At 36.0% G+C, this 24,344-nt stretch overlaps 1 protein-coding gene across 15 annotated transcripts in view; it reads right to left on the reverse strand.

Annotated features, from left to right (window-relative positions):
* ZBTB20 (zinc finger and BTB domain containing 20) overlaps positions 1-24,344 on the reverse strand; it is an 832,789-nt gene that overhangs the window by 369,311 nt on the left and 439,134 nt on the right. For 14 of the 15 annotated variants that reach the window (NM_015642.7, NM_001348801.3, NM_001348800.3 and 11 more), the window contains one exon: positions 9,718-9,765. The exons of the other annotated variant lie outside the window; for it this stretch is intronic. The gene's annotated coding sequence lies outside the window, so the exon portion shown is untranslated. The remainder of the gene's footprint in view (positions 1-9,717; positions 9,766-24,344) is intronic. 15 annotated transcript variants of the gene reach the window in all.

Consider the following 24,344-nt stretch of genomic DNA (forward strand, 5'->3'; position numbering starts at 1 on the left):
AGAACGGCTTCAGGTGCAGCTGAAGGGACCATGACAGCACTGCCTGACATCTCTGAGGGACTATGACAGGATTCTGACAGCCATATCTGCTACAGAAGCCTGTAAAGACTTGGGGTGGGGGGCAGTGGTGTATAATATACTGTGTAGTCTGATATTGCATCCTTTAAAGTATGATCTGGGGAAGGTTAGGCTGCATCTTCTTTATTAAATTATATTCCAAACAAGTTGTCTCCTCTGACTCCTGCATGAAGTCAGACTTTGGGACAGTAAATCCTACACTGTCCAGCTAAGAAAAATGACATGTTGTTAATAGGCTTAACTGATTCTCTTGCTATGATGGCAAGATCAGATTTTTAGCAGTGCTTCTGAAAATCCTGACACTCATTCACCAATTATTTTCTTCTAGGAGTCTAATATGTATTCATCTTCCCATATTTCAGGGAAGAAATAGTTGAACGACTTTAGGGAGCTTTTCCCAAAATGCTGACGCATTTTTGCAGCATTTTGCCATAATGGGGCCTATTGAAAATTTTTCTGACATTCTGAATTCATAGCATTAAGATTTGTGGTGTTGTTTTTGTATCTGGTTTGTATTTATTTTTGTTTTTATTAAAATACAGGAGAAATTGGGACAGGTTAAGAGTTGCACCTAAATGTATGAAGCTTGAGGTCTTTGAACATAAATGAGTTAGATATACAGAAAGTTATTAAGACCTTTAAGCATTCGTAAACATTTCATCATTGCTGACAATATCTATTTACTTTAGGTAACCCTGCCTGAGCAGCTCCTGCATTGCTACAAGGATGAAGGTGGGGTTATTTAAAAATTTACCAAGCTGTGAAAGAGTTTTCTGGAGAAAACTGGTTTGGGGACTCAGAGCATAAGGATAAACAATGGATACTTTTATGGTTACAGGAGAGGAGTTGATAAACCCCTCATTCCTCTAATGTAATGTATAAAAGAAAATATTGTATTCCTGGTCCTCACAAATGGGGAGGTGGTAGGGTAGGTAGGTTATATGAACACACATGTCTTCCCTTTGACAATGAGTGGGCAGGCCTTTAAAAAAAAGTCTGAAAAAATAAAGAGCCCTGGGGACCATTTAGGCTCTATCAGTGAGTTCTATCCTGAGATATCAAATCCAGTTGCACAGAATCTAAATGTCAATATTTACAAAGCTCTTTCCATCTTATATCCCGCTTCCTTTTTCTTTTATGCTCTTTCTACCCCTTTTCCTTCCTCCCTATTCCCTTGATCCCCTACATCATTCTGTTTTCCCATTTGCTCTCATTTCCTAACAACCCCCATCCCCATTAGTCAGTCCAAAATCTGTTCATCCCGCTATAGGCTTCAGTGATGGAAAAGAAAGGGCCCCAAACAAAGCCACCATCCAAGACAAGGAGCTCCAGAGGGTGGTGAATTGGTGATTGAGGTAAAGCCTGGGGACTGAGAATGTTCACCGCTCTGGAGGTTCTTAGCCCGAAAAGTGATTAGGCATCAGCAGGCTTGATAGCTGTATCAAGCCTCATGATTTCAAAGCTTTCATGAGCTGACAAGGACTTGCTAATTTCAAACTTTCTAACCAATTACAATCACAAAGAACTCAGGACAACAATCAGTGAGCAAAATGAAACTGCTGGAGTGAAGCAGCCCTCGGCAGGTTTCACTCTTGTAGCTCTGCTACGCAATGTGCAGCTGGGACTCTGCTTCAATAAGTAAATAAAAATACATTATAAAATACAAACATACACAATGGATCCCACTTGCTGTCTTGTTCCCAGTAAAGGGGTATGTAGGAACGCTGTCTTGCATTCATTCAGTCCATTAATTTCTGATGGTGTTAATTAAAAACTTTTGATGCTGGTTTGAATGGAAAATACCTCAAACAGTGTTTCCTTTATTGAAACACCAAGTTCCAAGTCTTGGATTATTAGGTTAAGCTCTGTCAGTAGTGAGACCAACATAAATGCTTTTCATACCGTATGCTTTGACAAAAGAGAATAGTAATAATAATAAATAAATAAATGAAAAGGAAGAAGAAATAAAGTGTTTAGACTGAAAACTCCTTTACTTCACCAACCTGTTTTTTTAAGGACTAAACTAAAAATCCAGGTCCCTGAATGTAGAACATATAATTTTAAAAAAATCTTTTTTCAAATCTTTATAGAACATTCAAATCACCCAATGTTCCAGGACCTGAATTTTTTATATTTTAAAATGAAGAAAGCTGCTTAAAATAAGTGAATCAGCTGCTAAGTGATTTCTCTCTGTCTTTTCCTCTACTCTCTCTTTAAAAAGACTGGAAAATGCTTAAAATGGTATATGCAATTGATATGTGCAGCTTAAGGAGCTTAATATAATTACTGAGGACTCAGACTTTCTATTTAAAAATAAGATAGGGTAGGGTAACAGAAACTCTGAGTGGTGAGTATTCATCCCTTGTGATGGTGAGGTGTGGGAAATGTTTCCAAATGTTTAATCCACTGAGCAAGGTAAAGAGTGCGAAGCAGTTATTCACAGAATTTGGTGTCCTTCTGAAAACCTAGGGAAGCCTAGGAAATCCAGAGAACAACTGAGGAGGATAGTATGAGAGATGCTGTGCAGGAAACAAGCAAATAAAATATCCATTTCTTCAATCCAATGCTTTTGTGAAGTATTAAGCCAACCACCAAAACATTCTGATTGATTTTTAAGACTCTTCTCTAATTTTATTTTTTAATTACTCTTCCCTTTGTGTATTGGGGTCTGAAGCCTTGGGCACCCATTCTGAGAGGTCTTGTAAATGTGTCTCACATATGCCCGTTTCTCTTTTGTTTTCTAATATACCTTTCTCTATCATTTTTCATTTCCCAACCTGTTTATTCACACTGTCTGCAATGTCATCTGAATCCTCGAAAAACCACAAGACTTTCTCTTTATTCCCCCTGAAGGCCTTCATCACTCTTGTTCTTGTTTTGATCTACATATCTCTAACGAGAATGAAGTTCTCCATAAAGGCTAAGCAGTTTGGCAGAACTTCCTTCCTTCCCTCCCTAACCGCAGGCTGTATTGACCTCACCCTCTTGGATCAGTTTGCTAAAATGGCCTCCAAACTTTATGTGATATGATAGTGAACCTTCAACAACAACAACAGCAATAACAACAACAACAACAAGAGCAACAGGATAACTTCAGTGTAAGGCATGTGAGAAAAATACGCAGAGTAATAGAACTAAAACTCCATGAGGGAAATGGGCCTGAGCAAACCACAGCATGGGTCTTTTTGTTAACAAAATGTATGATTTTTCCCCAGAGTACATTGATAGAGGACATAGCCTACAAAGGACCAGTAAATGTAAATTAACTAACAGATATGTAGCAAATGAATGCATTTAAAGATGATTTCCAGCTGAAATGTTTTTTTTTTTTTTTTTCTGGAGACCAAGTTTTTGTTAAACTTAATCCTTACTCTCTTTCCTTTCCAGCAGCAGAAACATCTGGTCGGTTTTAGATTCCCCTTGGATTTCCAACTTCAAAGGGAATTATAAAGAATAACAAATTCATGTACCGGCACTAAAAAAAAATTAGAGCAGCAGGAGAGAATGGTAAAATTGTCCTTATTTGACTGCTAGTGACAGGCGCCACAGGCAGAACTATGAGAAAAGACAAAGGCAAGATCACCAGTTGACAACCAGAGTTCCTGCAAGAGACTGAATCTTTGGCTACATGCAAATATGCACAGGGCCCTTAACAATCCATAGGGAGATTTACTTGCTTAAGGAAAATAAATAGGTAAATAAATAAAAGGAGTTGAAAGGTAAAAAAAAAAAAAAAAAGAAAGAAAGAAATGAGTTCATGTTTGCCTGTCACATAGTTTGTTGAAATAATAACAAATAAACCAATAAATGTTTATTGAAAGAATGACCTGGAAATAATTTTAAAGATCCACTTAACCCCTTGGGTTTTATTTGATTTAAAGAAAATTGTGAGAGTTCTGATTCTACAAAGGGCTGGATAAGTCATCCAAGAAATAATACAGGCTCTTAAGAGTCCACTAAACTTGGATCTCCAAAGTTCTTAAAAGTAGTTTCTGTTTCTCCTTTGGCTCCAGATCCTTATTATCAAAAGATGTGACGAGAAATCAAAGTCTTCTTAGTGGCCGGGCGCGGTGTCTCACATCTGTAATCCCAGTACTTTGGGAGGCCAAGGCAGGTGGATCACTTGAGGCCAGGAGTTTGAGACAAGCCTGGACAACATGGTGAAACCCTGTCTCTACTAAAAATACAAAAATTAGCTGGGTATGATGGCGCGCATCTGTAATCCCAGCTACTTGGGAGGCTAAGGCACAAGAATCACTTGAACCGGGGGGACGGAGGTTGCAGTGAGCCAAGATTGCACCACTGCAATCCAGCCTGGGTGACAAAATGAGACTCCATCTCAAAACAACAACAAAACAACAACAACAAAAAACCAAACTAACTGTTCAGTACATGCTCAGTACTTGGGTGATGGGATCATACATACCCCAAACCTCAGCATCACACAATATACCCAGGTAACAAGCCTGCACATGTATCCTCTGAATCTAAAATAAAAGTTGAAAAAAAAAAAAAAGAAATTTGTAACTGTGTCAAGTTGTGTTTGACACCACTTTATAGAAATGGATTTATTCTTCTCCTCTATCATTTTCTTAGCAAAACTGAAACACACTTCTAGAGTGCAGGTCTTGATATAATCAGACATGAGAAAATGAGAACAGTTAGAGAAAATACAATTTTGCCATTGTAATTACCTCTTACAAACAGCCTTTCCTCTTTCCTGTTTTATGTGCAATGTGTACAGCAACAACAATAAAAATAAACAAAGACATGATTAACCGATCAATTTGTTTCTCCAAAGAGAGAAATAGTTAAGGGCTAAAGTGCCTTTCAATAATTAATTATAAGAGTCTTTAAACTTAGTATTGAGAGGTTACAGATTTCCATACCACAAATACATTAGGTTGATTCACAGAGTGGCCATCAAATACCCAGAAAGCAAATTACTTTTGACCGAAATGTATACATCAACAGTACGGTTAGGAATGTTTTCATAGAGGAGGACAGAACATACATAACCAGTTCTCTATGGAGCCTAGCATAGTGTCCCATGGACCAATCCACATAAGATAAGACCATCTACAGAGCATATTCTTCATATCACAGACTCTAGGTAAGAAGAAAGTATTCTCTAGGTAAGAGGAGAAAAATAAGTGAAGATTTCTTTCGTTAACACTTCCACCATGAAAGGAATGAGCTGACTACAGAACCATTTTCTTGAATATTTTTGTCTTGAGTGGGGTTTTTATCCTTCCTTCACCACTCTAGGTAGAGCAGAATCACCAAAGTTCTCTCATTACGGTAATGTCATAAATCCCATCCTATAGCAGTTGTGCATGATCCTGTGTTATGCATCCAATAAAGTTTATTCAGAAAATATGTCAGCTTCATTAAACAGGGATCTGATGATCTGAACAAACCACTTATCTTGCTTTTGTGACATGTATTGGTATCCTTAGGTCTAAAATGAAAATCTTGGTTGGTGGGGGTATCTGCCAAGGATTCCCTGCCTCATGTAAGCAGAATCATCTAACCACAATTCTGAGCTTAACTGGGGGAAAGGAGGTGGAAGGTGTATCGTACTAGTTCGTTCTAAGAAATGTCTTATAGCTTGAGGATACGTGAGGTCACAAATGTAACAACAACTGAACTAGCACCAAGAGCCAAAGAGGCCAAGCATAAGGAAACCTGAAGCAAGAGAAAAAGGTGTACGCGTACATACACCAAGAAGCAAATGCTATCATTAATAATAATTATTGTTATTACAGCTATTAGAATGATGAGGCATTGATGGTTCACTTGGGTGAAATATATAATACATAAGCTAGAAAGAACTGTGGGTAAACTTATGGATCTTTTTAAAAGGCAGTTTATATTCTAGGTTTATGTGATATGAGACACATAATTTAACACCACATATAAGAACAGGATGCTGAAAAAAGTGAAGAAGACTTGCAGCTTTAAAATAGTATAATGGCTAGTTCCTACTGGTCTTTTCTTGTGACACCTGCCTTAGTCAAGCCATCCGATATAGTTCTAACCTTTTCTGATATTTTAATGATGATGACAGGCCCAGAGTAAAGGAGACAAAATAATCAGAAGATTCAGAGGGGAAAAAGAAATGGAAAGAAAAAAAAAGAGTTTGTATTGTTTATACCATCTAATCTGACAAATTTTATATATGCTCTCTGTTTGCTCAGGATAGTTTATTGCTAATGTTATGACTTTCTCTTTTTTTTCCATGTGCTTTGCTCTACCAGTTTTGGCTGAAAATATTTTGTATATGTCCATACTGTAAACCCTCATATTTTTCTAGAGATTTAGTGTGGTGGGGAAACTTTTTTTTCTTCCCCAAGGGTTAGGCACATCAATATTCTAGCTACTCACTTTTGAGGCCAATGGAAAATGTGCTCCTAAGATTAAATAGACCTGAGTAACACATAAATTCAGTTTATACTGATGCAGTATGTTGCATAGTTACATCCTGAATTTCTGATGCGTGTAATACACCTGTTGGACAACACATCACTACTGAATAGTCACTGACCTACAATTCAAAGACAGTGAGACAGCACAAGACTACAGATACAGGTTCTCTACAGACAGCCTGATTTGTACAGAGCATTCCTCATCTGTGGAACTCTGTGTGTAAAGGATCTAGGCTAGCCATGGGAAGCTGGCTCATAGAGGGTTCTAAATATTTTTAGAATAAACTAGAGCAATAATACAAGCACAGAGAGCACCCTTTGTTATACAATGCATAATTTCTTTCCCCCCAAACATGTTGTTTAAAAATGATTCAGATTTTTATTATATAATTCCCCCTTTTACATATTTCTAAATGCCTCACATACCCATCACATGTTTTCCATGTCTGCCAATAATCTTAATTAAAAATTATAAACTTTTAAAGCCAGTGTTACATTTGATTTAAGTAGATTTGCCATATTTATCTGGTATTGGTTGGCTGTAGCCAGACTGGAGTTCTAAGTAATAAGGGGACTATGCTTTCCTTTCACCTCAGGTAAGAAATTGTATTCAACACATGCTTAAACCCAATAATAAGTATAATTAATGCTGTATAGATCTGGCAGGCAAATTAGCATCCTAAATTTGAGTCAAGTAAAAAAAGTACCAAAAGAAAATAGTTCCCCCAAGAAACCTAGCCAAATCTGTGAAATATTTCTCTAGGCAACCAAATTGCCCTGTGGCTTACAGATGTGTCTAAGAATATTAGGCAACTCACTGATGAGATTTTACAATCAACTGTTACATGTTAGAAAATATGATGTCAGGATACTATGAAGAAAAATACTACTATATACAATAATAAGAACTATTTATCTGAATAGTTTTTAACATTAACGTGTAAAAAATATCCTGATGGATCTGAAATAATGATGTACTAAATACTACAATGTCTGGGGTTTGCTTCAACATAACATGGTGATATAGTGAGAAAATAACAGGCCATCAGTTAGTCATTGTGCAAGCTGGTGATGAGTACATGGGAGTTCATTATAGTAATTTGTTTATATTCATGAATTTAAGATTTTTTATCATAAAAAATTTAAAAACATATACTGATTTGAACTTTTATTCATTTATTATTTGTTGACTGATTCATTTACTGTTTATGCAAGGTATTATTGAGATATAAATAATAATAATAATGCTCTTATTGGGCATTTAGGTTAAATGAGCTATTCCTCTTCAGGAATATTATATATTTATTTTAAATGTTTATAAGGTCTATGTAATTACATATTTCTTAGGTTAAATTTTGAAAGCAGGACACAAAATTATATAGAAAGTATGATAACATCATGTTTTAAAAATATATCCTCGGGGAAAATGAGAGTAAGGAAATATATCAAATGGTTATTAATGATTGGATTTAAATTATAGAAATAATTACTTTAATTTTTCTTCATTTTACTCCTATGTGTTTTTCTAAATTATTTTTAATGAGCATGTATCATTTTAAAATGAAAATAAATATTTCTTCATTACTGGAAAAGATATGTTCTCCTTCCCCAAGGAGCTTTTCATTTACTGAAACAGAGAAACTGCAAACACACAGCATTGCCCAGATAGTTTAAATCTCCATACCTAGAAGGGAAATACACCCACAGGAAAAGAAACGTCAATACAGATTTTATCTGATCATAGAAACATAAAGAGCTTTCTCTGTGTTGGACAGCAATAGGGAAGAAACTGGCTTGTTTGCAAGCCAGCAAAAGCGTGAAATTCAGTCCTTTTTGTGATGAGATCATTTTGTGATAAATGCAAAAGGAGTGACAAATTAAAGTCACCAAATAAGCCTTTCCCTTGAGCTCCTGAGGCTTACTAATACGAGTTTCTTTTGGGGTAGCATAGCAAGTAAAGCGTGGGAGTGGGGAGGGAGGCGGAGCTACAATCCCGAAGGCTCCTGGCCTTCACTGGTGAGATGGATATGCTCAGAGAGACAGAGATAGATGTGCAACAGAATCAGAAACAACAACACAGTGACAACTATGGATTATGCACAATGGATATGGAAAGTCTCTGTTAGAAAACTATCTTTATTACCCCAAGAGATTATTTCCCTCAGTTTATGCACGTTCATATAAAGCGAAGTCAAGAGTGTAACTTTTAAAGGTTTGGATGAATATGATGTTCATGACTAAACAGGCCTAGATGGAGCCAGGCAGAACACAGTTAGATGCCAGGGAAGTCACCCTTTTCCTCCTCCTCCCTCTCCAGTACAGTTGCCAGTGCATTTCAATGCAGGTCAGCCTCTAGCAAAGTCAGCTGTTTCAAGCTCTGATTGGATAATACTTTATCTATACACCCCCAGTCTTGACCTGCACTCTTCTCCCAGTCATGGAAATATCAAGAATTCTAGAAGGCCACAATACCAATCTTTTTGAAACTTTACAAACTTTACAAATTTTCACTACAAGACACCTAGAAAAATCTTCAAGCCTATGCTTACCTGTAGCCCTGGTCTTGGTCCTCTTACTTAACTGGTAAAAGAGGATAGCCTTATTTATGTCTTTGAAGGGTATTTTCCTTTTTTGCTTGTTGGTAAGTACAAGAGCAACCATGTCTAATTTTAAGATTGATCCAAATGAAGCAAATGCATTTCAAATTTACAGAATACCATAGAATACTAATGGGTAGTTCAAAGTATCACTAAATGTGTTTGGAGGGTTTTGAGTTTTTTCAAAACATACAATGTTCCACACAGGAAACATCAGTGCCAACTTCACCCTATCACTCTTTCTGTCCACTCAGGAGTCTCCTTTGGAAATATATCTCTCTGGAGGGTCTTCCAAACAAATCCTTTGAATACTTCCATCTTGTTTAGCAGAGTATTCTAAAATATTTGTCAAAATCTGTGATAATAGGTTCTGGAGATCATGTTTCTTATTCTTCTAAATGCTGGTATTTCAAATGAACAAATAGGATATTAAAGATCTGTCCTTTACCAATGTCAAAATATGTTCTGTCAAAATTTAGTATTGCTAAAGTTTAGACCCAAAGACTCACCACAGCCTTTGGATCTCATATTTTCTGAGGTTCATGGAAAGATATTTGACTTCTTTGCACCTCAATATTTTGGACTGCCATTTAGAGATAATGAGAGTTACTTACCAGACAGCAATGTCATGAGGAATATCCTGTTAGTAATGATGAAACATTCTGAAATAAAAAGAGTACAGGTAAGTGCTAGGTATTTATTTTAATAAATGTATGATAACATGGTAATCATAGAAAATAACCCATTTATTCCTCACTTTGGGATACTGACTAAGTGGTAGTATATAAAAAGTAAAGGATGTTTCCCTTTGGGAATGGAAATAGAATTGTGCACTAAGAAAGTATCTTTTGTAACTGCCTGCATGTTTAACTTTAAGGTCTCTAACCAGTTGCAACCAGTTATGAATGACTTGCTGCCCATTTCTGCAATTCACTGTAACTTGTGTTGAGAAGGTTATGTTTTATGGTTAATTATCCATGGTCTGTTTAAAAAAATAAATCAAACCACTGTAAACCACTAGGATTTGCAGCTCCATTTGAGCTTTACTGTAGTTTTGATCAAACATTTTGTACATAAAAACAAGCTGGTTTCTCTTTGTTTTTAGTTGTTTGTTATTTGTGTTATAAATATTGTGGCAATGGTGGGAGAATAAGCTATGGATTATTTACCCTCGGTTTCATGAGTTGTGAGTTATTGGCCTTATCCTCCTTTATAAGTATAAATAAATGTATAATATTATATTCCAAGTCTTGTAAGACAAATGGAACGAGTGAACTGAAACCTTTTAGACCCAAAATCTTTTATGCGAAGTCATAGAACAACAAAACAAAACCCAAATTAACATTTAAAAAGCTTCTACTGTGGAGCAACAAAGTCTTTAAATATTATATAATCTGCATTTAAAAAACTGCTCATCTAACAGGCAGCAGTCTATCATTCTACAAGCTTTTCAATGCCTTTAACATTCAGAAGCTACAGGTGGTTTTCCCAAAGATCACTCAGCACCCCCAATATCACTACCACAATGAAAGCCTTGAAAATGGCCAGCATGATTACTTTAAGCCAAAATGGATTTAGAAAAATCAGGAATTCGTGTAGCTAAAAGTAATGAAACACTGTATAAAAGAAGAACCCTATAGAATTTTTTTTATAGTTACCATCCTAGGACTTATATAAACAAAAGAAGTCCAAAAACAATTGTCCAGAGAAAATGAGAAAAGCCAAGATTCAAAGGACCCTGTGGCAGAGTGCATGAGGAGCATACTCGATAGCTAGAATCATAAGTATCTAACACATTTGCATATGAAACTTAATGAGGATCACCAAAGTAGCTTGCCAAAAATTATGTTTGTTAAATCAGCCAACAGTCTATGTAGCACAGACCCCTAAAAAGAACCTCTAGGAAAGATGTAAAATTGTCTTCTGAAATTTGCTTCTTTTATAAAGGCAGAAAGGATAAAAAGGCCTTTCTCATAAAATGAAGTGATTGGTCCACTACTACAGTCTGAAGAGTTCTGTATCAGATTTCTTCTTACCCTTTATTACTTGTATGGCTTACTGCTTACCTGCATCAGCAGTCTGCAGGGTTGGCCATAGCAGGTCCCTTACGAGTTCACTGAAACACGGAAAATATTTATGATGGTACTATTATGTGCCAGACACAACTGGATGGATTCTGCTTGAAAAGGTAAGTCAGTAACTGAGGTTCTTGTTGCCACATTAAAAGAAAAAATCTATCCCTACTGCCAACAGCAATAAGAAGAGAAGCTAGGGTGAAAGAGTTGTCAAAGACTTATGAAAAATTCGAAACTGTTTAAAATTCTCCCTAGCTTCTTTTCTTGCATGTCCAAGTAACAGAAAGCTTAGGCCTGCCACCTGTCTTAAGCCTGGATCCCATATTAAAAAAATAAAAAAAAACAGAAAAATGAGAAACAGCTAATGTGTTCCCAAGGCCTTGGTTACAACAGAAAATGAGAGCCGAGAAGTCTACATTGGCACACATCGAGATTTGAAAGGTCAGTCCTGCCCTAGTATGGTTCAGAGACCGTGAAAACCCACCAAGATGAAAATGGAAGCTATTCTGACAACAAGAGGCAGGGAAAAAGTTCAAAGACTTTTCCTCTGCTTCTTTTATAACGAGATACTTTCAACTATTTTTGACAATCAATAAAATGCAAATCTCCCTCACTTTTGTGTTCTAAGTTTTTTTTTTTTAAATTTAAACAACCCATTTGAAAATTAGGGTACTCAGAATAACTTCTTGTATACAGAACTACACATTTAAAAAGCTTTGTGCAGATTGTTAATCATATTAAAATTACATCATAAACAATGCACTTTACATGGTGCAAATGTTTTATGTTTTTTTCTTTTGACAATCAGGCACCTACATGCAAAACTGCATATTGGAATCCAAACTCAACTATAATACATGTAGAGGAACCCTTAGAAAAATGCATGTGGGAATATGATATCCCAGTTAGAGACTAGAATATTCTGACCAATTTTCATTATTTCTCTGTAATAAATTTATCTGAGCTATAGATCCTGTTAAGAAAATAAAGCTAAATGGAAAAGTATTGATAAAATACATTAAATATATATATACTAGCTTAGTCATTATTCATATTAAGATCAGAAAAGATTTCCGCAAGTCATCACAAATACAGAGATGGGATAATACCAATAATCTCGATCACCCAGTTGTTAAAACAGAGAACCTCACATTTGGGCAATAATAGTTTTGATTTTTATCTTGTGCACCAGATTTTTCCATACAAAGGAATTCTAAATTGCAATAGTTAACACATAAGACAGTGTTAAACAAATTCATAACTTTAGTAAAATTAAATGAACCAATTTCTTATGGCTTTAATATCCAGAAGTAAAGTATGATCTTAAAGAATGATGCTGATCTGAGATACAAGGAGATCAAGCGCTTCAATAGTTCCTCCTCACACACTAATGATCGCATCCATCCTCTCTTCCACCCACCTCCCACCTTTTCTGGTTGTATTAAAAACAATCAAAACTACCACCACTGCTGCTACCCTTCACACACCTGAACTTAATTTCTTCTAAGAGATGCCTAACAGTGCCTAGGGCTGTGCTATCACTTTATATCCATTTTATGACCGCTTGAGAGGCAGAAACTAAAAAGGAAGACCAAAACAAAACAAAAAATCCCTCCAACCTCCCTTATCAGACAAATGCCTGGTTCCCAGAGGACACCAGTCAGTTAAGCAAAACCAAATATTACAACAGGGATGAAGGACTTATAAATTGCATACAAATCTCACTGTGCTCCCACTTAAGGTGGAAAGGGAGTTACTCCAATGAAAGAAAAGGGGGAGGGGGTTGTGGGAAGGAGCGAAGGGCTACAGAAAGAGCGAGAGAAAAAGAGAGAGAGAAAGAGAGAGATTTATTGTACATTTGAGACATTAAGAAGGCAGTACAGTGAAACCAAAGGTGTTCCAGGGAGAAATGTGACAGAAAGCTCTAAATGAGAATTACAGAAACTATTCCTTCTTAAATAAAACTGTTGTTTAGATGATGAATTCTATAGGAAGTCTGAATTAACTGTCTCTGTTGTAGCATCTAGATGTTTTCTCTTTCATTAAGACTTTGGAGTTTGAATGTACTTTGTTAAAAAAAAAAAAAAAGAAGAAGAAAGAGAAAAAAAGAAAAAAAAAAAAGCATTAGAGCTTTATATAGCTCCCAAAGTAAAAAGCAAGAGAAAGATGGGTTTATATAACTGGCTTTTTTACATAAATATTACATCAGGATACATTTCAAGTGAAAACACACAAACACACACACACCCGTCTTCCTTATACTCTTTCTATTTTAAAATTCATTTCATACTTTAAATGTTGTTGGTTTTTCACAAAATAAGTAAAAACGAAGTCAAAACATCTCAAAATAAGTTGCCTTATATTACCTGGAAAATTAACCCATCATACAGGTCACGATGTCTCATTTAAAGCCAGTTAAGGTGCTGACAATTATGGGACATTTTGCTGCAGCCTAGGGCAACTAGAAAGGGCCATGGATGTTAACTAACTCCCTTTTAAACAGTCTGAGAAAAGGGAAAAAAAACTGTAAGTTTCCCCATCTGTTATTTCCTTTTTTTTTTCTTTTTGGCTGTGGAAAAGTAAAATTATGCAAGAGCTTTTGAATGTAAAGGCTGTGTGTGCTTTTTCCCTTTTTGTCTCTGTGTACCGGTTAAGTGATGTTGCGTAACTGAGTACAGAGTAGGCGGTTAGCGTTTACTATTGATTTACACTATGCCATCTAATGAATTCAGAACACTAAAAAGAAAGGAGCAGGAGAGGGAGGGAGGAAAAAGAGAAAGGGAGAAATAGGGAGAGGAAAAAATAGGAATGAAGGAGAGGAAGAAAGAGCTTATTCAGAGAAACAGTTCTAATGACTGGAATAGGTTCATTTTTATTCCTATAGCTCTGACTTTTGGTTATTGTTCAGCTCTCACAAAAAAATGGTCTTGAGCTGGTGACCCCAATATTCCAATCCTATTTCTAATAAGGATTACTGGCAGGTGAATGCCTGAAAGTTCTAATGTGTCAAATTACTTGAAACCAATTTCACTATACTGTCAGACTCCTCCATATGCATCTATTTATGATTCTCTCTATGCATTTGTGAATCTGTATCTGTGATCACCATGGATTTGGTCCTACTGGCTTACCCAATCAAAAATATTATTTGAAATATATCACGGGAATGTCATCAGGGTAAAGAGAAATACATTCTATTTTACCCATCTCCTTTAAAAATACATAAAGAACACATTTAGAACTTTAAATATATCACTATTTTACTTTGAAAACAGACATGCTACAAATTGTTTGGCTGAACAAAACAGCCCAATATAGGATAATAAAAGAGAAATAGGCAAAATGAGGAAGAACGCTAAATTGAGGAACAATATTCATAAAGAAATTTAAATAATTTCTTATGTCTATGGAGAGCCTTTTACTTTTGTTTGGGTGGAATGCCTGTAGCATTCTCAGTCTTTGAATGCTGCTCAGTGCTTCCCATGCCATATAATGAATTCCCAAAGCGTGGACCAGAAAGAAAGGGTGAAGTTGTTTCTGCTGCTAGGTACAGGTCCTTCCTGTACCTGAGTGCCCTCCTATGGCTGAGAACAACCACTAAGGTGAGAAAGAGAAAGAGAAGTTCTCTTTAGTAATCAGCTGAAAAGCTGGGCAGGGAACTTGATTTCTCCCTCAATGTGTGTTTGCAAATGATGACTGGGAAAAATCACAGGAGGTTATCCAAAGGAAAGAACAAGAGTTGGGGTTTCTAGTCATCCAGTTGTCTTCTCTTTTCAGCCATCTGAGCTTAGAAAATATTAAACAGATGCGTACTCTGTCCACTTGTCAAAGATGCTTTAATGACCCATGGTGGTATGCACACAGTTGTATACCTAGCACTTGCCATGGTGCTTGGCACATTTTCTATACTCAGCAAATATTTATTGAAACTGAAAAATGATGATGGGAGAAATATCTCTGTAGAAAGAATGCACTAGAAAGGCCTGAAAAAATATATTCCGATGTTTTACAAGAAATCTTAGGCTATATTGCTCTATCATTAATCTGCACACAAAATAATACTGTAAGAGAAATATCAGGCAGTTATTTAGGGGTCAGTTGACTTCAGTTCCATTTTATTAGGAAAAAGCTTAACAAAAATTATAATACTGATAACATCAGCAAAGTTTTGTGTTCATTTCCACCAGCCCTTTTGGGCTGTCTTTCATTTCAGTCTTGGGCACAGAAAAGTCTATTTTAATTTCCATGGACACATTCTAAAGAAAAAGTCATGGGATATCAACGTAATTCATCTTTTAAAAAATACTGAGACAAATGTAGCCATTTAGTAATGGAAGAGAATATGGCTTTTTGTTGAAGGGCAAGGCAGGTGGAGTTTTGATTAGGTTACACAAATTTAAATTACTAGAAGGACACCAAGAATGTACTGATTTCCATTTTCTTGGTTAAACAGTTTTTTTTTGGAAAAAAAAAATTCTGGTTTAGAAAGTCAGAAATGCCATCTTTCAGTTAATTGGAGAATAAGACCTTTAGAAAAAGAATTGCAACTACAATTTCTCAAAAATTCCAGCGAAGATTCAACTTAAAGCATGTTTAGCAATAGTAGCCATATTCTTTTAAAAAATGGGGCTACCATCTTGTTAATTCTGTAGGACTGAGCATGTAGATATTAGTCAAAACCTTCAAAAAGTTTTTTATTTCTCTCTCTTGGTCATCTATTTAATGTAATCGGATTCAGCAACTTCCTTCAATAAGCATTCTGGCAATATGTCAACAAGATCATTCATTTCATGATTCTTAAAAGTGGATGAGAACTTACCTGTTCTTCTTCATTTTATATATGAAGATTCTGAGACTCAGAATTAATTTTCTCAAAAGCATATATTTTGAGGCAGAGCTGGGACTAGTATCTAAAGCTCACAGTTCATTTTTTTCACAGCACAGACTAAATCAAAGTTGTATAAATTCAATCTTATTTTAAATGCCATAGGGGAAGATTTCAAAGGATTCTTTTATAAGACAAGGAATTCTTACATTATGTAAAATGTTCACCTCAAAGCTATCTTATACTTTTTTTTATCTTAAATGTGAGCCTACTGTTCAAATTGTTGCTTCTCCTTTTCCTTGTCTTAATTTTTGACTCTTTAGAGTCTTTGCCTCCTGTCCTCTCACTTGTACTCTGTGTCTAGTTCATATATGGCCCTTCCTGACTTCATATTCTTCCTTCTCTCTCTCTTTTCATCTTTTTATCAAACTTTTATTTATTCTTGTTCCTCACAGAAATAATTTCCTTGTTAATGTGATATCCTCAGAAACTACAAAGGAAGAAAAAGTGTAAATTTAGTATTATTATAATAAATAGGCCTTTGGTTTATATTTAAAACAAAACTGCAATAAGATATTGACAAACAGAGTAAACTACAGCTATAGGCTTCCCTATAGAAAGTTACAGCTGTCTAGACCTCCATATTATCAATATGAAAACTTGGGGGCTAGCATTTCAAAGTATCTCATCAAAGACAGAGAGCAAAGGCTCATGATCTCCAGACCACTCATTTTCCACTACATCAGGACACCTTTCGTTTCCCTTTTCTTTCTTTCCATTCTACATTATTGATATTTGAGACTGATTACGGCACAGCAGGAGGAGATTCAGAGAAATCTCCTTGGCTTAATGTGGTCAAACTCTCTCAATTCCAAAAAAAGTCAGAAAGACCTGCACACTAAAATTGTAGTTACACAGAAAAAGAACTCTGAGGAGGTTAAAAGAGTCCTCTGACATGAGAAAGTAGTCTCTGGATAGCAGGGACATTGCTGCCAAAATCATTGTAATTAAGATTGGGTCATTGTTTCCATTATAAACCTTATGCTTATGGGGTTTGTAATTCAGTTAAAATGATCAGCTGTAGGCTGAAATGCAGCCCCAAGTATCTTAGAGTGGGAGGTGTTTCTCCCCTCCTATTTCTTAAAAAAGAAAACACATAGCAACTATTTAATAATTTCAATGAGAGTTGTATTCTGACCCTTCCCCTACAAAGGGTAGTTAATCAATGAGCTTAATCTAGAGTGAGCCAAGGTGAGCAACATCCACTGTGGAATGAAGCACATTAACCTGGCATATGAATGGGCAATAAAAGGATTTCCTATTATTTCATAAGGTTTAATGTACATCACTCCATTCCACTGTATTGATGTGAATAGGCTTTCAGCAACACCGTGTTGAAAAATCTCCCACTTCTGTTTGTTAACTCATTATTGTAGGAAACATTACAATTATAGGAGACAGGAATTTCTGATGGTTTCCTTAGATTTCTTTCCTCATAAGCTCATTCCCAGGGTCAGTATTAGATAATCAATAATTTCTAAAATTTCTTGCTCCTATTTCTTTAGCATTGTCTACAATATCTGATACCTATAGTGTAATGCTATGTGCCACCATGATGTAGAGGGATTGGGGAGGAAATCATAGCTATATATTAAAATTAACAGGCCAGAGGAAACTGGTATTTACTGAGTACATACTACATGACATATATTCCATTAATATTATTTCATTTAATACAAACCTGCAGTGAAGTAGCTGTGGCCCATGTTTTATAGATTAGCAACATAGTTAAAGAGCTGTTAGCTAACCTGCGTAAGGAAACAGAGCTAATTTAAAAAGTTGCGAAGTGAGGTTTGAATCAAGATCTGTTTGACTCCCAGGCCCATATGTACTGCAATGCAATGCAACACCAGGAACAGAATATGAAACCATCTAACTGAAAAAAAAAAGTCTCCATGCCAATGATGAGAGCTACCTCATGCTCCAAGTAGGAGGTAGAAAGGGTAAATGACTCCTAAAAAGAGATTCTTGCTTTGCTCTTGGCTCTGATAAATCCCTGTTTATTCATATGCAAATATCCAAATGCATATTTGGAAAATGTTTTGTCTTAGATAAGAAAATGCACAATCTCCTAGAAACCTTTAAATGAGACCAGACATTTGAATGTTTACAAAAATTCCTTTGAAGATTTATATTAGGAGAAAGTTTTAAAACATAATGCATAAAAAAAAATCAGATGATTGGCTAGGCATGGTGACTATCGTCACCATGGGAGTCGCTTTGGGAGGCTGAGGTGGGTGCATGGCTTGAGCCCAGGAGTTTGAGACCAGCCTAGACAACATGGTGGAACCCCATCTCTACAAAACACAGTGAAAAAAAAATTAGCAGGCATGGTGGCACGTGCCTATAGTCCCAGCTACTCTGGAGGCTGAGGCTGAGGCTGAGGATTGATTGAGCCCAGGAGACCGAGGCTGCAGTGAGCCATGATCGTGCTACTGCACTCCAGTCTGAGCGAGAGAACGAGACCCTGTCTCAAACCCTCCACCCCCAAAAATCAGATGATTAATACAACATTAACATTTCAATCTGGATGTGTGTGTTTGTGTGTGTGTGTCTATGTGCATATAAACCTATAAATATACACATACACAGATGAATTTTTTTGTCTTTGTCAAAATTTCTGGTAATTATTATAAAGTATTTGACAAAAGCTAAACAGTAAATATGTTACACCAGGAGAAAAGGAAACAAAGAACAAGAAAAGAGGAGTATGTGTATGTACATACTTCCCTCAGAAATCTAATCCTAAAACATTTTTTAAGCTAAATGGGACATAGTGCTTTAGTCTAAATTGTGTGTGTGTGTGTGTGTGTGTGTATGTAAAGATAAAGGACTTTTACTATGTTATTTTGGCAAGTGATTATTTTTCTAAAATCTTTGCTGAATCGTTTTATGTAGATATACTATAATACTCTTGAATAAATAAATACTTGTTCAAGTTAACCTTAGAGCTCATCAGGTAAATAACAGAATTTAAAAAAGAATCTGTAGTCTGAAACACTGTAGAGTATGCCAACTTTACACATTACATTAAGTATTCGTTCAAAATAATTTATAAATTGAAAAGTATACTCCATTTTATTCAAACAATGCAATTTTTTAAATGAATCTTACACAAATTTGTGTGTGTGTGTGTGTGTTAGAGAGAGTGTGTGTGTGATCCTCAAGACCACTGAGTCATTCTTTAAAAATATTTTAAAATCATAATTTGGTGAAGAACTTAACAACAAAGTAACTGAAGCCAGATTTGAGAGAAGAAGAATGAACAGTTCTTCAGGAAGCACCAATTCATTCCTTAACATTCAATAAGTCTTTATTGCTTCGCCCTTCCCTCCTTTTTTTCCTCTAGTCTAAACTCTGATTTGGAGCAGAAGTTAGGAGGAACACGTATTCTGGTCCCTCTTCTCTCATCCCTGTAAGGAAAAGCAATGGTAGACTAATGACAGAAAAAGCAATTGCAACAACTTTGGCAGTTTTGTGGTACTGGGAAAAAGCAGGCTTTGTATTTGTACATTTCAAGGAATTTCTTCAAATTTTAGCTTCTTTGAATGTTCCTACAACAAGCTGAAGGGGAGATAAGATCTGCTAGGGAAATAGATGAGGTTTAGAGAGGGAAAATGGAGGGACTACTTTTTTTTTATTCAAATAGCATTCAAACACATGAGCAAGATATAACTTGCAACATTAAAAAGTAAATTAGCTAGCTAAAAATAACTCACAATACCCTTCTCACTAAAACAAAATAAAATAAAGCAAAAACTCACAACCAATTATTTTGACTGGTAAAAACAGACAGTGATATGAAAGTAACAGATGGAAGCCCAGTTTTACTCACACAACACACTCACTAAAGACAATTGCAAGTGTCCCCATGACAATAACTTAACAATGGTCACTTTAGCCTGAGATATCTCCTTTAGGTGAGTTTCCTTAAAGACTTCAGAGGGGCTTGTAGAAAATACTGTAGAACGAAACCAACTCATTTGTCTATATGTAGAAATAGGCAAGAGTTGCAAATCACAGCCTGTGGACGAAAGGGATCCAGGTGTCACATTTGCCAAATCTTTTTGCAAGACTGGAATAGATATTCTTTTCTTATTTATTTTTTGTTGTATGGCAGTATTTTTAGGAGTGGTGACATTTCTGTACTTTTAAAAACACAACACTACACAGCACCTAAAAACTTTCCTAAATCAAATAATTAACAGTAATAAATCTTCCTGCTAATTTCTCCTCAAAGTTGAAAGAAAGGTTATTTTCTTACCTCACACTGAGCCTTCTGATATGACAGTGTCATTCAGTCAATAATTTCAATGTCAGTTACTGATTTCTAACTCTTTTATTACAAAGACTTCAAGCAATAATGAAATGGTGCTGATCTGCTTGCTTTCACTCTATATAACGTCTATATTTATATGCTTATGCTTCTATTTGGATCTATATTTATCTGCTTTATCTGCCTACAGTGCATCTGTTTCTCATACACACAGACATATATTTATATATATACACACATACTGTATATATATATATAGGTTATATATAAACACACATACCCACAAAAATGTATGAATGTATGCTAGTGAGCTTACTTCAACAACCATGCAGGTGCATAAATATTCAGGCACATGACAAATATACAAAGAACATAAATGAACATGTAAACATAGTTACACAGGAAAAAGAATATCTTAACAACAGCCCTGTCTGCCATACTTGGCTGTTGGCCTTTGAGACTTATACACTGTTGAATGATATGTCATAGACTACTCTGAGAAGCAGAAAAATCTTCTGAAGGCAAAAGTATATGACTAAATCAAGATAATGAATTCTAACTCTCTCATTTTCGCAATGAGGAGTCTGAGATACTAAGGTGAACAGCAAAGATTTTACAGCTTTCTGGAGGCAGAGCTGGAAGTTTTACCCAAGTCTCTGCCTGCTAGACAAATGCTCTTTCTACTACTATGCTGAATTGAAAGGATGAAAACAATTTTTTCAAACCCAATATCATTATTTTCTAATTGCCACTCTTTCCCATTTTTCCCTTTTCTTGCTGTGTGAAATGTAAACAAACAACATTCACTCAGGGTCAGGCACTGTTCTAAATATTCTATATGTACTATACCATTTAATCTGTAAAATATCTCTATATAGTAGGTATTATTATTCAAAATCTTAGTTTAGTGAATTAAATAACTCACTCAAAGCTACACAGCTAGTAAGGAAAAGGGCTGAGCTCCCATAATACTCAAGACCCATGTTTTTCTCACTTAACTATGATGCCTTCCCTAATACATATTTGTATATAATACTAACCCTTCCCTCACCACCACAGCCTGATAGTCTTAGAAATCTAATATTTGATCTGTTTCAGAACACATAACAAGTTTAAAGGTTCTCTCAGCCTGAGGAAAAAAAATAAAGGGAAGTAGAGCAGGTATAAGTTACATCCCTAGTATGCAGCACATGCCCTATACTAGAGAACTGAAATATGCAAAATTCCCCCCCAAAATTACTCCAATGATAGTGTGATGTGATTTAAAGCCTTAATAACTTCCAGTCTATGAACATTTTATGTCTTTTGCAAAGGATTATGGCAAACTGATAATATAGAATCAGATTGGAAATAAGACCACAAGAAGGCAAAGGGAAAATAGCAAAAGGAAGAAAGACCCACACCCACTTCTTCTTCCTCTCTTGGCACAACACTTCCAAAAACAAACACCCATTAAAAACAACAAACCCAGTATCAAAATTTGGTATTTTTTTCCCCACTCAAGTGTTAGAGACAAATTCAGAAAAGAAACTAAGTCTACGTATGGTAGGTAGTTTTATACAAATCTCTTCAGATAGTAACCAGTTGTGAGCCATCCGAACACGGAGGAATTTTACACTTTGGCCAGCTAACCCAGAACCCAGCACTGGGAGATGTCATGTGGATTTGTGAAACTCCCTGGGGCATACTGCATCCATAAGCCAAAGAACAGAAATTATACTGATCCATACATGCAGCTCTTCATCTGTGCCATATTGATAATTACTCTTCATTTGTGAATTAAATCCTAGTTATAAAAACAACTTTCAGACATTTGTCACAAATGGCACATTTTACTTAACTCTTTCATAACACCATCTAGCCACGGTCTATAGGAAATGGGAGCTACCATACTCCCATATAGGTCATGATATTATAGGAAGAATATGATGTAGAGAAAGAGAGAGAGAGAGAGAGACAGACTTGAGTTTGAATCCCAGGTTTTCCATTTATTAACAATAAAGCTGTAGGCACATCACTTAAATGATTCTGAAACCTCATTTTCATCACCTGTGGAATAAAGAATAAAACCACCTATTTTGCAGGAACGTTGTGAAGATTAGAGACATCCCAGCACAAAGACCCCCTCATAAAAGGGGGCATTAAATATTAATTATTGTATATTTAAGAAGTCTATTTGTGTGTGACTTTCTCTTGTATTAATGATACATAAATCTGCTGGGAGTAACAGAAGATGTGAGGTACTTTTTATGCTTTTTTAATCAAAGACAAACTTTTTGGTGATCACATGTGTTCCATGTAAAAGTGGAAATAAAAGCATATCACAGTGTAACATTTTCAGTGGACGATTTTAAAGCACTTAATAACCCTTGACTTTTTGTGATTGCTGGCACTCTCATTTAACAGTTGGGCAAAATGGGGTTCAGAGATACATCCTCCAAATCAGTAATAATAATAAAGAAATCACCAGCAGGGGTTAGTAGAAAGTCTGTTTTTAACATCTAAATCCCACAGTGTCCAGCTAAGGAATAACTGCTGCAAGGTCACAGATACAAAAGGCCACACTTTCCCCAAAGCTCTTTGAGATTATTCACTGAGGCCAAAACATTAGGTAATGCTGTGTACATCTGCTGAGATAACAAGGGTGAGTCAGGGTTAGGTCACGGTTTCAGGTTAGAGGGGTGGGGTGAAGAGTGGCTTTCAGATCAAATGACGAGAGTAGTTTAATTTAAGCAAAGAACAAACCATACAGTATTTTAAGTAAGAGGGGAAAAAAAGGGGGTGCAACTACAGCCAAGAGAAGGTGGGTGGGAATATAGACCCTGTGGGGGTCAAATGGGTAACTGTGGCTCAAAGAGGAAACCCACCCACATTCACACACACTGAAAAGCGAACAAAAAGCCCAGGGTGCAGCATAAATCCTGCTATCCCAATAACACACACAGATGTTCCACCATTGTTTTCTTTTATGCACATTTTAATTAAGAGATCAGAATCAAGCATTAAAATGTTATTAAATGGCTTGTTTACATTTTTGCTATATGTCATTTATAATGCATTTTCTAAATGTGTGTATATCTATTCGGAAGGACTATTTGGAATTTTTACATCAGTGCTACAATTGTCCCACTAACTCACAGTCATTTTTGCTAACCAAATATGTGTCAGAAATCCTTTTCAGTTTAAGCAACTGGACAGGAGCTCTCACTCTTTAATTCTCAGTCAAGCAATTCCCTACCCCCAATCACACCTCCTTTAAGCATGACAAAGTCCACCACAGTACTTCAAGACAATAGGAAGGCCCAGGTACACTGGCAACCTTTCTGATTTTTCACAAGAGTCCCAGTTTCAAATATTCTCCCATTGTGCTCACAAGAAAATAGTCTTCATATACATGCCCGACCCTTTCCCTAGAACAGTTTTGAAAATGTCGGGAACTCAAAGCTACCACATGAAGGACCCTGACCTATGAGTGTCCCCTGGAGGGGACACAGTGGAAGAAGCGGGAACTAGTAGATTTTTTTTTCCTCCCCACAATCCATCTTCTATTTGCAGTCTACAACTTATCCCTATTTGCCTGGGCAGGAATTTGAGTTCTCTATATTATTCTGGAGTTAAAACAGGTATGCCTTTCCCGTCTCTCAGATTCCACAGATATCATGACTGATGCACACAATCCACCTGCATATGTGGATCACAAGTATCCTGTAGTCTGCTGGCACCATATAACTTAATTACTTTTAACCACAGGGCATTGTCCTAGAAGCCCACTATTTATATTGTACCTTATCAATCATGGTACTTGGAATTGCAAAGTCTCAGAAAGCAGGAATCATATCTCCTCCACGTTCAGTTCAATGCCTAATGCATTGTGAGTGTTCAGTTAGGACAAGCAAGAGAGGTAAGGTTTTTTCTTTCTTTTTGTTATTTGTTTGTTATCCAGGATAAGCAGAATGCTTGTACAGAACATGCATAAGAAAGAAACGCAATCTAATCTCACTGTCA

Source organism: Homo sapiens, chromosome 3 (genome assembly GCF_000001405.40).
Source record: "Homo sapiens chromosome 3, GRCh38.p14 Primary Assembly".
Classification (NCBI taxonomy): domain Eukaryota; kingdom Metazoa; phylum Chordata; class Mammalia; order Primates; family Hominidae; genus Homo; species Homo sapiens.